The sequence below is a fragment of the Homo sapiens genome, chromosome 9, assembly GCF_000001405.40.
Source record: "Homo sapiens chromosome 9, GRCh38.p14 Primary Assembly".
Classification (NCBI taxonomy): Eukaryota; Metazoa; Chordata; class Mammalia; order Primates; family Hominidae; genus Homo; species Homo sapiens.
In genome coordinates, this window is record NC_000009.12 from 125518325 (window position 1) to 125531349 (window position 13025).

Genomic DNA, 13025 nt, shown 5'->3' on the forward strand with positions numbered 1-13025 from the left:
TAATCCCATACTACATCTGTAATCCCACATTACATCTGTAATCCCATATTACATCTGTAATCCCACATTACATCTGTAATCCCACATTACATCTGTAATCCCAACACTTTGGGAGGTGCAAGTGGGAAGATGACTTGAGAGCGGGAGCTCGAGACCAGTGAAACCTCGTCGCTACAAAAAATTAAAAAAAAAAAAATTAGCTGGTTGTGATGGTGTGGAGCTGTAGTGTCAGCTACTTGGCAGGCTGAGGCAGGAGGACTGCTTAAACCCAGGAGTTCAAGGTTACTGTGAGCTATGATGGTGCCACTGCACTCCAGCCTGGGCAACAGAGCAAGACCATCTCTAAAACAAAATAAAGCTAAGTTAATAAGACATGGGAAGAATTCTATGATACATTATTAAATTTATAAGATATAGAATGTACAGAGTAGGCTACATGTTAGTAAAGTAAAACCCGAATAAAATAAAAGCACCAAAACATAGGTGCACTGATATGTGGATTTGTGAAACACACAGCACAATCTGGAGGGTCATGAACCAAACCATTCTCACAGCCGTTCTTTTACCTGTAGTAACCTGTGGGGTAGAGGAAGGTATACCAGCAAAGAAGATGGCTTTTGATTTTTACTTTATAGATTCCTATCACATTTGGGTTTTTGACAGTAGATCATTATAAGTATTACATTTATTTTAAAAATTCAATTTTAAAAAATGAGGTGGAAAAATCTCAGAGATTATTCCAGCTAGACCAGACTAGGGAAGACTGTGGCCCCTGGAACCTCCTTGAGTCTCCTCTCACACCATCTGGCTCCTCACACATCATGTAGGCTCAGTGGCTCTGGAGAGAGACCTAAACAGTTGAGGAGCCAGGAACTAAATTGGGATAGAGCCTGTTCAAGAGTTCCTGAGGTCCATAGTCAAGCTACAAGTAGACCACAGAAGCTTCCAGTGCTGCTTAAAGGGGTTGAGCAGGCAAAGGTGAAGAGGACTGACTGGAGCATCTGGGGCCAGACTACAAAGACTGTTTACAGCTGGGTGCGGTTGCTCGTGCCTGTAATCCCAGCACTTTGGGAGGTCAAGGTGGGGAGGATCGCTTGACGCCAGTTCAAGAACAGCCTGAGCAACACAGTAAGATCCCGTCTCTACAGAAAATAAAAATTAGCCTGGTATGGTAGCACACACTTGTCTTAGCTGCTTGGAAGGCTGAGGTGGGAGGATTGCTTGAGCCTAGGAGATCAAGGCTGTAGTGAGCTATGATCATGCCACTGCACTCCATCCTGGATGACAAAGCAAGACCTTGTCTAATATATATACATATATATGTCTTTTATATATATATATATATATAATTTAAAAAATTAATAACAAAAACTGTTTACAAAGGCAGGCCACAACTGCAGACCAAGGGTCAGATCCCATTCGCTCCTGTTATCACCATGGCCTGATAACTATGCCCGCCCCAGCCTCCTCATGGATTCTACCCAGAGCCACAGAAAACAAAGGTGTCCCATAATGTCTCTGGTCTTCCTCTAAGGCAGTTCTGAAGCCTCCATGCAGGCTTTGAGATAAGTGGTGGTCAGGAGTCCATCCCTACAGCCTGTGGGTAGAGAAAAGGTCTGGATTTGATCCCTGCCTAAGCTTAATAAAGTGTGTATCTAGGGAATGTTCTGCAAACTCTGCAGACCCCAGCACATTTGAGACAGTATGATGTAACGCTTATAAGCCAGACTCCTTGGGTGTGAAGTCCTAGCTCCACCACTCACATGTTATGTAATCCTGGGTAAGTTACTTAGCCTTTCTGTGCATTACTTTCCCATCTGTAAAATTTCCCATCTGTAAAAATGGGCATCTATATCTTAGAGTTGTTGCAAGGATTCATTGAGTTAATACAAGTAAAACGTGTAAGTAGAAAGGATGCCTGGCCCACAGTTTTCATAAAGTCTGTAGCTTTAGCTGCATTGTCCCTATGCCTGGGTTGCTGCTTCTGCTTTCTAAGCAGCACTCGGAAAGAGAAGGGTCTCTAGTTCTCTAGGAGAGGCTGAAACCTCCAGGTCAGCCTTACTGGCCTCATCTTCCTCCCCTCTAATGATATAGTAATCCAGAAATATCCTCCAAACCATGCCATTTCAACCATCTGTGTCTTTGCTCATACTAGTCCCTCAGTTTGGAACAATCTTCCCTCTACTTCACTTCTTTACTCTGTTTTTTCCCACTCAAGGAATCAAAACTCTGCTTAGATGCCTCTGTCTCTGGACTTCTTCGTGCAACCCACACTACAAAGACCTCTTGTACTACATATATGCAAGTTGAGAATGGAGAGCACATTTCAGCGTCCCTACATTCCTAGGACAGCCTCAGCATACAGGTATGTTTAGTGATTATCTGGTGATGAAACAAGCCCATCCTGCTTAGTTACCATCCTACCTCTTCCTCCAAAGTAGACTTGGAGCTCCACCTCCATCTGACTCCAAATGCCTCCACTGTTTGGAGATTCCCATTAGTGTCCCAACTCTGACTGGGTTTCCTAGGGATGGATGGAACTAGCATGGATCTAGCTGACTCACCTGGACATTGGCTGGAGAATGGAAGACCATCATTGACAGGGTCCAATCCCTCATCCCCATCAGTCTGGTTCTCTTACCCAGGTCCATCTTCAGTAGCCACCTATCCCAACACATATCCTACCAAAGTTATCTGAGCCACAACACACAGGCCTAAGTGGAGCCCACTCAACATCAGAACAAGAAGAGGTAACACATGTACAACCAAAAACTTCAAAACTTGCAGAAGGTTGGGAGCCACTGGACAGGAGCCTCATATATGCGGTTGTAGGCAGAGAGTGTGCTTGAAGGCGCAGACCCTTCACTACCATGAGGAGTGCTAATACTCTACATCCTGTCACTATGCAGCCAGCAGGAATGTACTTCTCTTTAGAGAAAGGAGGTCCCCTACTATTTGTAAAAAAGGAAATTTTTTTTTCTCCTTGAAATCCAGATATCACTTGTTAGAGAGGTTGGAAACCTTTACCTTTGTCCCTAAGAATCCAATTTTTCAATCCAATCTGTTTCTCTTAACTTGAGTCACTGTGACAATACCAAATTTTACATACAGTTATCTGTTGCTCTGTAAAGAAATACAGATGGTTTTGTGGAAATAAACAGTCATTTATTTTAAACAATTGTAAAATAGTTTATGGAAACCAGTGGGGTAATGCATTCAAATAAATGCCAAAACTGGTTGATGGGGATCCAGGGTGCTAAATCACACTGCAGAGGAATTTAGCTGTGGGGAACAGACAGTAAATCCAGAGTGACAGAATTTCCCGTGATGGCAAAGGTTTCTGACATCCAGTCCAGTACTCAAAACCCACAGCAGTTCAAACCCATTTTCCTTAACACAGCCTTGACAGCCAGTGAAATTAGTGAATTTAGTCACAAGCACCTAAGGACAAAAAACAGAAGAAACAAAAATGAGACTTCATTTATCTTCAACCTTCTCTGAGCTACATGAAAGTGGTGACTCCAACCTGAGTCAGTGGAGAGCAAGCTTAGAGCCAATTGTTTTCAGTCAGCAGACTCTGTTATGATATATTGGAATCTGAAGACTTTCATTCAAATCTGCTTATGTCAGAGGCTTCGGTAAACCACTTCCTCTCTGAACTTCAGTCTCTTCCTCTGTTAAATGCGGATAATACAGTAGTTGTATGTACTTGACAGGATTTTGAGCAGATTCAGTGAGGCACCAGGATTATTCTTTGGCTAGCTTGATGCCAGTGGCCCTGGTGGAAGGGGCTCTAGCCCAGGGTGGGACAAAAGGCTACAGGGCCTCTTTAGGGACTTCTACCAACTCTTCAGGGAAGCACCACTGCCAGTGAATGGTTGGACCAGCCTTTGCAGGAAGAAAGAGACTCTAAGCTCTTTTTTGCTTCTAATTTTACAGGACAATCAACTATAAACTTATCATCCTTCCATTCTCAAACCAGCTTTTTTTCCTTGTAACTGTGCTTCCAATGACGACACTACGATTCACCCAATGAATTAAATCAGTTGGTTCATCAAACTGTACTAAACTCCTACCATGTGCCATGTCATGAGCTAGTCACTGTAGATATGAAGATGAACAAGACTCTGCATCTGGCCTCTAAGGACTTGGCATAGTGAACACGGCACTCTCAAGTTTGGAATACTTCTTAGCCTTCCCCCTTGTTGATGACATTAAATCGGCTCCCAAGTTCTGCAGACTCTACCCACTTAATACATCTCCCTTGCATTCCTTCTCACTCAGGCCGCAGTAATGGTTTCCCAACCTTCTTCTGGCCTCCAGCCAACCACTCTTCACCCTATTGTTAGAGTGCTCTCCAGAGCCAAATTCTGGTAGATTCAAGGTATCACTTTCATACAATCCCTTCACAACTTCCTTGCAGGCTACTAGTTTAGATGCAAATTCCTTACCCCACTCTCAAGGCTTTCTATCCATCCTAATTTCTTGTCCATCTATGTCCTTTATGACCCAAACTAGACTCACTGTTCAGTGCATATATGTCCTGGTTTCCTACCTCCATGTCACTGCTGTGCCCTTCCCTTCACCCAGACTGACTCCGTCAGCTTGTCAAAATCACATCCCTCCTTTTTGATTATCCCCTAAGTCTTATCTTCTCTCCTTCTGACCCCATGATATCAGGCCCAACCAGAGTCCCAGACTGGCCTCCTTCCTTTCCCCACAATAGGGAAAGTTGCACCAGTTAACGTCTTCAAGGCAATAGGATTTCTACAATCCCCAGCCAACCAAAAACAGGGCTTCCTTTTTAAAAACTCTAGCCTTGGCCTTTACATCTCATTCAGTTAACTGTCCTTGCTCCTGGCCCAATCCTGCCCAGAACCCTGCCCTCAGGCCTGGTGCCATGCTAGGTTCCCAGTGTGTCTCTCTGAAAATCCTGCCCTGCCCTCTGATACTGCCTGCCCGCCTGGATTTCCTTGTGCATAAATCATACATTTAATTTATCTGAATTCAACCATACTTGCTAGGTAGAAAAGAGGAAAAAAAGAGGGAGACCTGACCAAGAGCACAATTTAAGCAGTTGGGAGAATTCCACTTGCCATGACTCTCAGTGATCCAATGAGCCCCAAGAGTGGGAATATGAGGCAGGAGTCCAGAAATCATCTTTGCAACTATGGAACCTTGTAAATGTGTGATAAGTGACTAACTGCATTAAATGGGTGGATGATAGTATCTCAGTCTTTCTAGACCAAGTTTGATTTTAGCATTTAAAAATATGTACTTTTAGCTGTTACGATGCTAGAGAAAAAAGCTGTGTGAATTTAATGAGAAAAATTACATTGCCTCTGATGGGCATTTTTAAAGAGATTTTTCTTTCCCACAGGTAATTTTGACAATGGGATTTTTACTCACCTGTTGCCTTTGTGATCTAACCCTGGATAAGCTGTGGCTCTTGGTACGGCCACCCCCAGGTGCTGAGCATCATCTGCTTCCCTGGTCCTTGCTGCCAGGACCTGCAGTTCCCCCGCTGTCCTTATGGCCCCCCACTGCTGACTGCCCATCTGCCCTGTTCCCTGCTGTGGGGGCCAGATCCTTCAGAGATTGGCTCCACCTGTCAACAGGGCTTCTCTCTGCCTGCCCCATCTTCCTTCTAATAACCATTGTGCCAACTGAGGTTTGTGTTTCAAGTCAGAACACAAGCCTTGGTGAGTACTTATTTATTTATTTATTTTTTATTTTTTTACGTAAGTAAAGAGGCCAGGCTTGAGGACTGCAACCTAGGAGCATAGATTTAGGTTGCCCTAAATACACTCCCAGCACTTTAATTACCACTACCCTGTCCAGCTTTATAACAGCCATTTAAGTTCTCACCTCAGTACCTTCTACTAGGTTGGTAGGACAGTGATGGTGGGGTCAAGCACTACCACCAATTCATAAGACCTTTGGAAATTACTTAAGTGCTCTAAGCACTGGTTCCTTATCTCTAAGTGGGGAATGATGATAATTTCTAACTCATGTGGTTATTATACAGATTAAATGAGATAACACATGTAAAGCACTTAGTTTGGCACATAAGTGCTCAATAAATAGCAACTATTTCTTAATACATTAATACAATTTTGCACATTTTGCCATGTTCAACTCTCAAGCTTCTTATCTTAAACAGGTAAGAAGCTGAATTATATATCCTGTTTTATTTTAAGCCAATTGTGACTTACAACCGAACATGTTGCTTCTCTTTGTGCTACAAACAAAACAAAAAGGTAAAAGCAATGGGAAAAATGGCAGAAGAGGAGACGTGGCTGTCAGCCATTTTCCTTTCTCAGAGTTTTCTTTCTTGTTAGATCTATTATCTGGGAGCTGGGCTGCCCTGCTGGCTTTCCATTTGCCTTGCTAATAACAGTAAATCCAGCAGCTTCCACTGCAGTTCCTGTCTCCTTCAGCTGACTCCCAGGCCAATCAGCATTTCCTCTCTGCTAATGTCAGATGTTCCCTGGGAAGTCCTGCTGAAAAGAAAATTTATGACTAAAGTTTCTCCAGCTTTTAACCCTTCTGCATATCCTGCTCCAGATGCAGGGTGCTCCAGAGGAAGGCTAGGTCATTCCTACACGTGCACTCCTATGTTCTTGCTGATGCTCTGCTGCTCTGACAAGGGGCCTCGGACCCCTGGAAAAGCCCAAATGAGCAGCTGCGCAGACAGATGCACACATTCTGGGCTGTACCTAATACATGGACTCAATTTGAGCTGGGTTCCTTAGCAGCTAGAGTCTCTTTTGAACTATAACTCAAAGCAGTCATATTCATACAAAAAGAGCATTAGATCACAAAATTGTGAGTCTGACTAGGTTTCATGACTGAAACTGAAAGGAGGGGACAGGACTAACATTTACTGAGTGATAAGATAATAACAGCAAAGACTTACTGGGTCCTTGGTGCTTTGCAAGGATCGCTGCTTAATTCTCACAATAATGCTATGAAGAAGACATTATTATTATTTTCATTCATAAATGAGGAAAACGAAGTTCAAACAGGTTAAGAAACTTATCAGAGAGCTAGAAAAAGTAACAGGAGGCCGGGCGCGGTGGCTCACGCCTGTAATCACAGCACTTTGGGAGGCTGAGGTGGGCAGATCACCTGAGGTCGGGGGTTCAAGACCAGCCTGACCAACATGAAGAAATTCCTTCTCTACTAAAAATACAAAATTAGCCGGGTGCGGTGGCGCATGCCTGTAATCCCAGCTACTTGGGAGGCTGAGGCAGGAGAATCACTTGAACCTGGGAGGCGGAGGTTGTGGTGAGCTGAGATTGCGCCATTGCACTCCAGCCTGGGCAACAAGAGCAAAACTCCATCTCAAACAAAACAAAAAAACAAAAACAAAAACAAACAAAAAAAAAAAAAGGAAAAGTAACAGGAGCAGGGGTGGAACCAGGTAGGTCTTCTAGAACCCAGGTCTTAACTAAGCTCCACAGTTAAGGCTATCAACCAGAAGACTATGATCTGGTTGGGACCTTATTTTATTGAAGAGGAGACTAAAGCAAGGAACTCAAAGACAGAGAATGACCAGTTTTAAGCCAATAGAGGAAGCATGATCTTCTGATCCGCAACAGCCACCTCCTGAAATAAATCCTCCAAGGCTCTCAGAAGAGGAGAATGCACTGACGTAGGCGTTCAGGAGACAATGGGGTGGTACTCCACAATCTCTTCAGTGGAACAGAGAACAATGGCTGGCTGCCGAGATTCAGGCTTGCTGGCAAAGGTGGCAGTGGTGCAGCAGCCACTGCCAGGCCCTTACAGACCTTATGTTCTTGGCACAGAAGGGTCTCATCACAGGGTTTACATTTTAAGTAAGTTCAAGCCTTTGGGGATGTCTGCATGCTGGCTCCATGGACTTTCCTATGACCTCTTCTGTACCTCTCCACAGAAGTTAGATGATGTACTTAACCAGATCAGCAAATCCAGTAAACTAATTTTTGTCCCAATTTAGAAAGAAGTAAGAATGTCAAAATGTACATGTGACAGCTGTTTGGGACTCTAATGTTATGGAAAAGCAGCTGTTTTCATTTATATTTGAGATATTAGTCATCCTTCCAATGGGACAGAGTATCCAGCTAATAGCTTATGCTTTAACCTACGGAAAATATGGGTCACAGAGACAAAGTGTTGGCAGAATCACAATACACTGACTATACTCATATAACATTTTGGTCTTAAAAAGTTTGAAAACGTTTATAAGAAACAACTATTTAATAATGATGTTCTCAGAGAAATCTGACATCCAACATGTTGAAATGAATGGTTTGCTTTTAGGAGAAAGGGCGTTTTCAAATAGACAAAGTCCACATAAGTAAGGAAAGAAAGATCCTTCTACACTCCAGAAGTTGAAAGTAAGATGTTTTCTTTTAACAAAATTTAAAAATTAACTTTAATCAAAGTAGCATATATATAGTTTTCTTTTTTCTTTTTTCTTTTTTTTTTTGAGAGTCTTGCTCTGTCACCCAAGCTGGAGTGCAGTGGTGCAATCTCAGCTCACTGCAACCTTTGCCTCCAGGGTTCAAGTGATTTCTGCCTTAGCCTCCCGAGTAGCTGGGACTACAGGCGTGTGCCACCACGCCCAGCTAATTTTTTGTATTTTTAATAGAGGTAGGGTTTCACTGTGTTAGCCAGGATAGTCTCGATCTCCTGACCTCGTGATCTGCCTGCCTCAGCCTCCCAAAATGCTGGGATTCATACATGTAGTGTTTTTTTTGTTTGTTTTTTTTGGGGGATGTAGTCTCACTCTGTCACCCAGGCTGGAGTACAGTGGCGCGATCTTGGCTCACTGCAAGCTCTGCCCGCCCCCAGGTTTAAGCAATTCTCTGCCTCAGCCTCTGGAGTAGCTGGGACTACAGGCGTGTGCCACCATGCCCAGCTAATTTTTTGTATTTTTAGTAGAGATGGAGTTTCACCATCTTGGCCAGGCTGGTCTTGAACTCCTGACCTCCTGATCCACCCACCTTGGCCTCCCAAAGTGCTGGGATTACAGGCGTGAGCCACCGCGCCCGGGCCTCATACATATAGTTTTAAGAGTAAATAATGCTGTTAAGTCCTATGATGAAAAAGAGTAATTCCCTGTCCCATTCTTGAGTCCCTCCTTATAGGCAATTTGTTTAAGTTTTTTTGTGTGTGTGATTTCTGGCACTCACCGTCCTACTTTTTATTAACATTCCCATTCAACTACTTAGATAAGTTATTATAAATATCAGACAATATCTATTAACTTACATTAGAGAGAATGAAGACTTAGGCTGTGCACTCTCTCTCTCTTTCACACACACCCACACGTCCTTTGGAAAGTGAGTTTGCTTTTCTTTTCTTTTTCTGCAATACAGTAGCTTCCTACAGTAACTTCCTCCTGCTGGGCACCCTTACGTGACTATCAATGTTTAAAATGTCTGCTTTTGGTATACTCCTCTGGCTCCCCAAGGACTCAGAAGAGATCCACATCATTACGGGAATCTGGGCGGCAACACTAATTTCAACGGATATGCATCGCCTTTCATTTTAAACACATTTACATTTTCATTTGATGATGTAATTCTCCAAGGGAGTTTAATCTCTGATAACCAAAGTACAGTGAATCCACTCCTAAACACAAAGTGGTGGCCTCAGGTGTGGGCTGGCTGAGAGACACGTGGCTACGAGCTGTGGACTGGTTTTCACTACATCTTAGTTCATTCCACAAATGTGCTAACCACCAACCCTGGGCCAGCTGCGGTGCTGGTAAACCATAAGGAACCTACCTCTCCAAAAGGAGCTTTCACTGTACTCAAGGAAAAGCGGGGGCTCTCATTCTCTTCTTTTGCAAGGTGCTTACCAGCAGCTGGCAAGATCAGTGTATTTGGAACTTACTGGGGACAGGGCCACAGTGCCTCTGCCACAAGCCTAAGTGGCTGAGGGATACTGATCTCTGGAGAGGATTAGTGTCCCTTCCCAGCTTCCATGGCTGGAACATGGCCTGTTTCCCTTGATGGCCACTGTTGATGGAGTCATTTACTGCTCATGAATTTACCCAGCCCTTTCTGCCCTGTCCACTTCTCCCTGCCTGCATCAAGGAGGGGTGCTGGTAGCCCAATTAGGAGATGCGTGGAAACGAGTGGAAAGAATGAAGTTATGCCTGAGCCTGGGAGCCAGAGAGACTCCCTCTAGGAGGGGAACTCCCAAACCTGAGGACTCAAGGAAGTCTTTTCAGTTAGAAAATGGAAGGACCGCCAGGCACAGTGGCTCACGCCTGTAATCCCAGCACTTTGGGAGGCCGAGGCAGGTGGATCACGAGGTCAGGAGTTCGAGACCAGCCTGGCCAAGATGGTGAAACCCCATCTCTACTAAAAATACAAAAATTAGCTGGGCGTGGTGGCACATGCCTGTGGCGCCAGCTACTTGGGAGGCTGAGGCAGGAGAATCGCCTGAACTCGGGAGGCGGAGGTTGCGGTGAGCTGAGATCATGCCATTGCACTCCAGCCTGGGTGATAAGAGTGAGACTCCGTCTCAAAAAAAAAAAAAAAAAAAAAAAAAAGGAAGGACTAGCAGGGCGCAGTGGCTCACGCCTGTGATCCCAGCACTTTGGGAGGCCAAGGCAGGTGGATCACTTGTGGTCAGGAGTTCGAGACCGGCCTGGCCAACATGGCGAAAACCCCTGTCTAAAAATACAACTAAAAATACAAAAATTAGCCGGGCGTGGTGGTGTGCACCTGTAATCCCAGCTACTCGGGAAGTTGAGGCAGGAGAATCCCTTGAACCTGGAAGGTGGAGGTTGCAGTGGGCCAAGGTTGCACCATTGCACTCCAGCCTGGGCAAAATGAGTGAAACTCTATCTCAGGAAAAAAAAAAAAAAAAAAAGAAAGAAAGAAAAAAGAAAAGAAAATGGAAGGACTAACAAAAGCCAGAGCAAGAATTCCTATCAAATGTGTTTTATTGCTTTGTTTATTAGCCATCTCCTCTATTAGAATGTTAGCTCTCTGAGTTCACCCAACTGTCACCCTTATATCCTTATTCACTACCTGAAATGTAGCCAAGACTCTACTGAAGGATAAGTTAGGTTTCAGACACACTGTACCTGAGAGATCTGCATGACCCTCAGGGATTCTTAGACTTCAGTTACACATTATCTTAATTCACACTGTTCTGCTATTAAAAGTAGTGTGCCAAAAAAAAAAAAGAAAAGAAAAAAAAAGGCGAAAAAAGAAAAGGAAAGCTTAAGTTTTGCTATGATTTGATATTTCTGTGATTATGTGGTGACAGTTTCCAGGAAGATTGAGGAGTTCCAATAGACCACCTTGTATCTTTTGCAGCACTTGGGCTTTAATCACATCTCACTGACTTTCTGTTTGAAAAATTGGTTCGATGACACAGTAGAATCTACACACCTAGCTGCCTGCCATACTGTGATTAGTAGCTAGGTAACCAGAGAGGTAGATGCTGATACGTCCTCTCCCCAGATCTGCCTTACGGTGCTAATCCAATGCCATTTTCCTGATTTTAAGTCTTCTTTGTCTCAGGACATTATTGTCATGTAAGGCAGAAAAAGAAATGCCCTTACTGACTAGCTATTTTTCTTCTTTTCTTTATAATGCACTTAAAGCTGTTGCAGATATGCGGCAGAAAGTGCCACTACTTATAATTTACTCAAAAAGAAAGAACTATGCAAAATTACTATTGGAGTTGTTTAAAATGCCTTTTACATTGCTTATGGGAGTAAAACAGCTCCAGTATCAGGCCTCTGTAAGCAGCAGAACAGGAGTTGGGTGGTTCAGGCCCTTGGTTTCCTGTGGTGGGGTAACTCTACTAAAGCAAGGGTTTTTTCATAGAAAGTAGCTAAAATCAGTCTTGGTAGAGAAGAATTTTCCTTACAGCTACTAATAGGATAAACACATCAAATGGCCTGACCGAAGAAAGAGGGACTTCTGCTTCCTCTGGTGCAGACTGAGACTCTTCATGGAGGCTGGAGAGATGTAATGGGCACATGCAACACTCTAATCCTGTCTGTAATTATAGAATCATTTTCATTTTCAAAATCACATGGATATTTAAGTATACTTCCTCTTTTAAATGTTTTCTGAGAAACAGCAACAGGGTCTGTGAGCTACTAAACTGTGAACACAAAGACTTTTAAAACTTACTTATAAATGTGTTTGTTACAGGCAATTACAGTTTGTTCACATTATTTCCAGAATCTTTGGCATAGGAAATTAAATTTGCAGACATAAGCTATCTGATAAATAAGGCTTGTGACCATTAATCCATCCCTATAGATATATGGTATGGTTCACTTATTAGTAAAAAAAATCATTTGAGTTGACTCTCTGGGTCTAGTTTTCTCCTTCTTCAAAATAAAGTGTGCTTCCAGCAGATTCTAATTCAAACACAATTCAAAGGCTCATTCTACCACAAGGTAAAAACTTTCTATAGACTTAATTCACTGGAAAACAAAAGGTGCAGGCAAAGGCCAAATCATATGGATAGAAAAGGAAGTAAACCAAAACCTAAAGAGAAAGCCAGGTTTTATGGCGTGCCTGGCATGATAGTGGCAATAGGGATGATGGCAGCTGATGTCCACTGAGCGCCTACTATGGACTAAGTGTTTTACATGCATTCAGTTAAGACAATAACCCTGCAAGATAGGTATTATTACCTCTATTTACAGAAAAGACAACTGAGGTCAGAAGGGGCTGATGACTTCCCTAACTTCACAGCTTGTAAAAGGGACAGGTGGCCTGGGGACTGGGGTTGGTTTGGTTCCAAAGCCCATGCTGTTTCCACTGAGTCTTGCTGCCACCCCCAGCTGAAGCAGGGACATTTGGTCTCTCTAGAGAGAAAGGCAACAGCTTCCACTGAGCCGTGGGCCCCGTAACCTTATCCAGTAGAAGGAAGCACCACAGTGTCTAGCAGTACAACCTTTGGCCATTTGGCTTTGAGTCCTTACTCCCCTACTAGCTGTGCGACCTCAGCAAGTCCTGCAACCTCTCTGAGCTTTAGTATTCTCACTTATAAAA

General features: G+C 43.5%; 1 protein-coding gene across 6 annotated transcripts in view, besides 3 other annotated features; it reads right to left on the reverse strand.

Moving 5' to 3' along the window:
- The window catches only part of MAPKAP1 (MAPK associated protein 1), a 269815-nt gene that overhangs the window by 80931 nt on the left and 175859 nt on the right, over positions 1 to 13025 (reverse strand). The window contains exon 8 of one of the 6 annotated variants that reach the window (NM_001006618.2): positions 3144 to 3441. The exons of the other annotated variants lie outside the window; for them this stretch is intronic. Within the exon in view, the coding sequence (NP_001006619.1) occupies positions 3428 to 3441 (14 nt within the window). The 3' untranslated portion in view covers positions 3144 to 3427. Of the gene's footprint in view, positions 1 to 3143; positions 3442 to 13025 lie in introns of those variants that run through there. 6 annotated transcript variants of the gene reach the window in all.
- Positions 9474 to 9533: an enhancer, noted in NCBI's record as "active region_29006". NCBI's record gives its function as "activates an Ori minimal core promoter by ATAC-STARR-seq in GM12878 lymphoblastoid cells {active_cell/tissue: GM12878}" and the evidence as "EXISTENCE:reporter gene assay evidence [ECO:0000049][PMID:35858748]".
- Positions 9584 to 9633: an enhancer, noted in NCBI's record as "active region_29007". NCBI's record gives its function as "activates an Ori minimal core promoter by ATAC-STARR-seq in GM12878 lymphoblastoid cells {active_cell/tissue: GM12878}" and the evidence as "EXISTENCE:reporter gene assay evidence [ECO:0000049][PMID:35858748]".
- Positions 11907 to 12066: an enhancer, noted in NCBI's record as "active region_29008". NCBI's record gives its function as "activates an Ori minimal core promoter by ATAC-STARR-seq in GM12878 lymphoblastoid cells {active_cell/tissue: GM12878}" and the evidence as "EXISTENCE:reporter gene assay evidence [ECO:0000049][PMID:35858748]".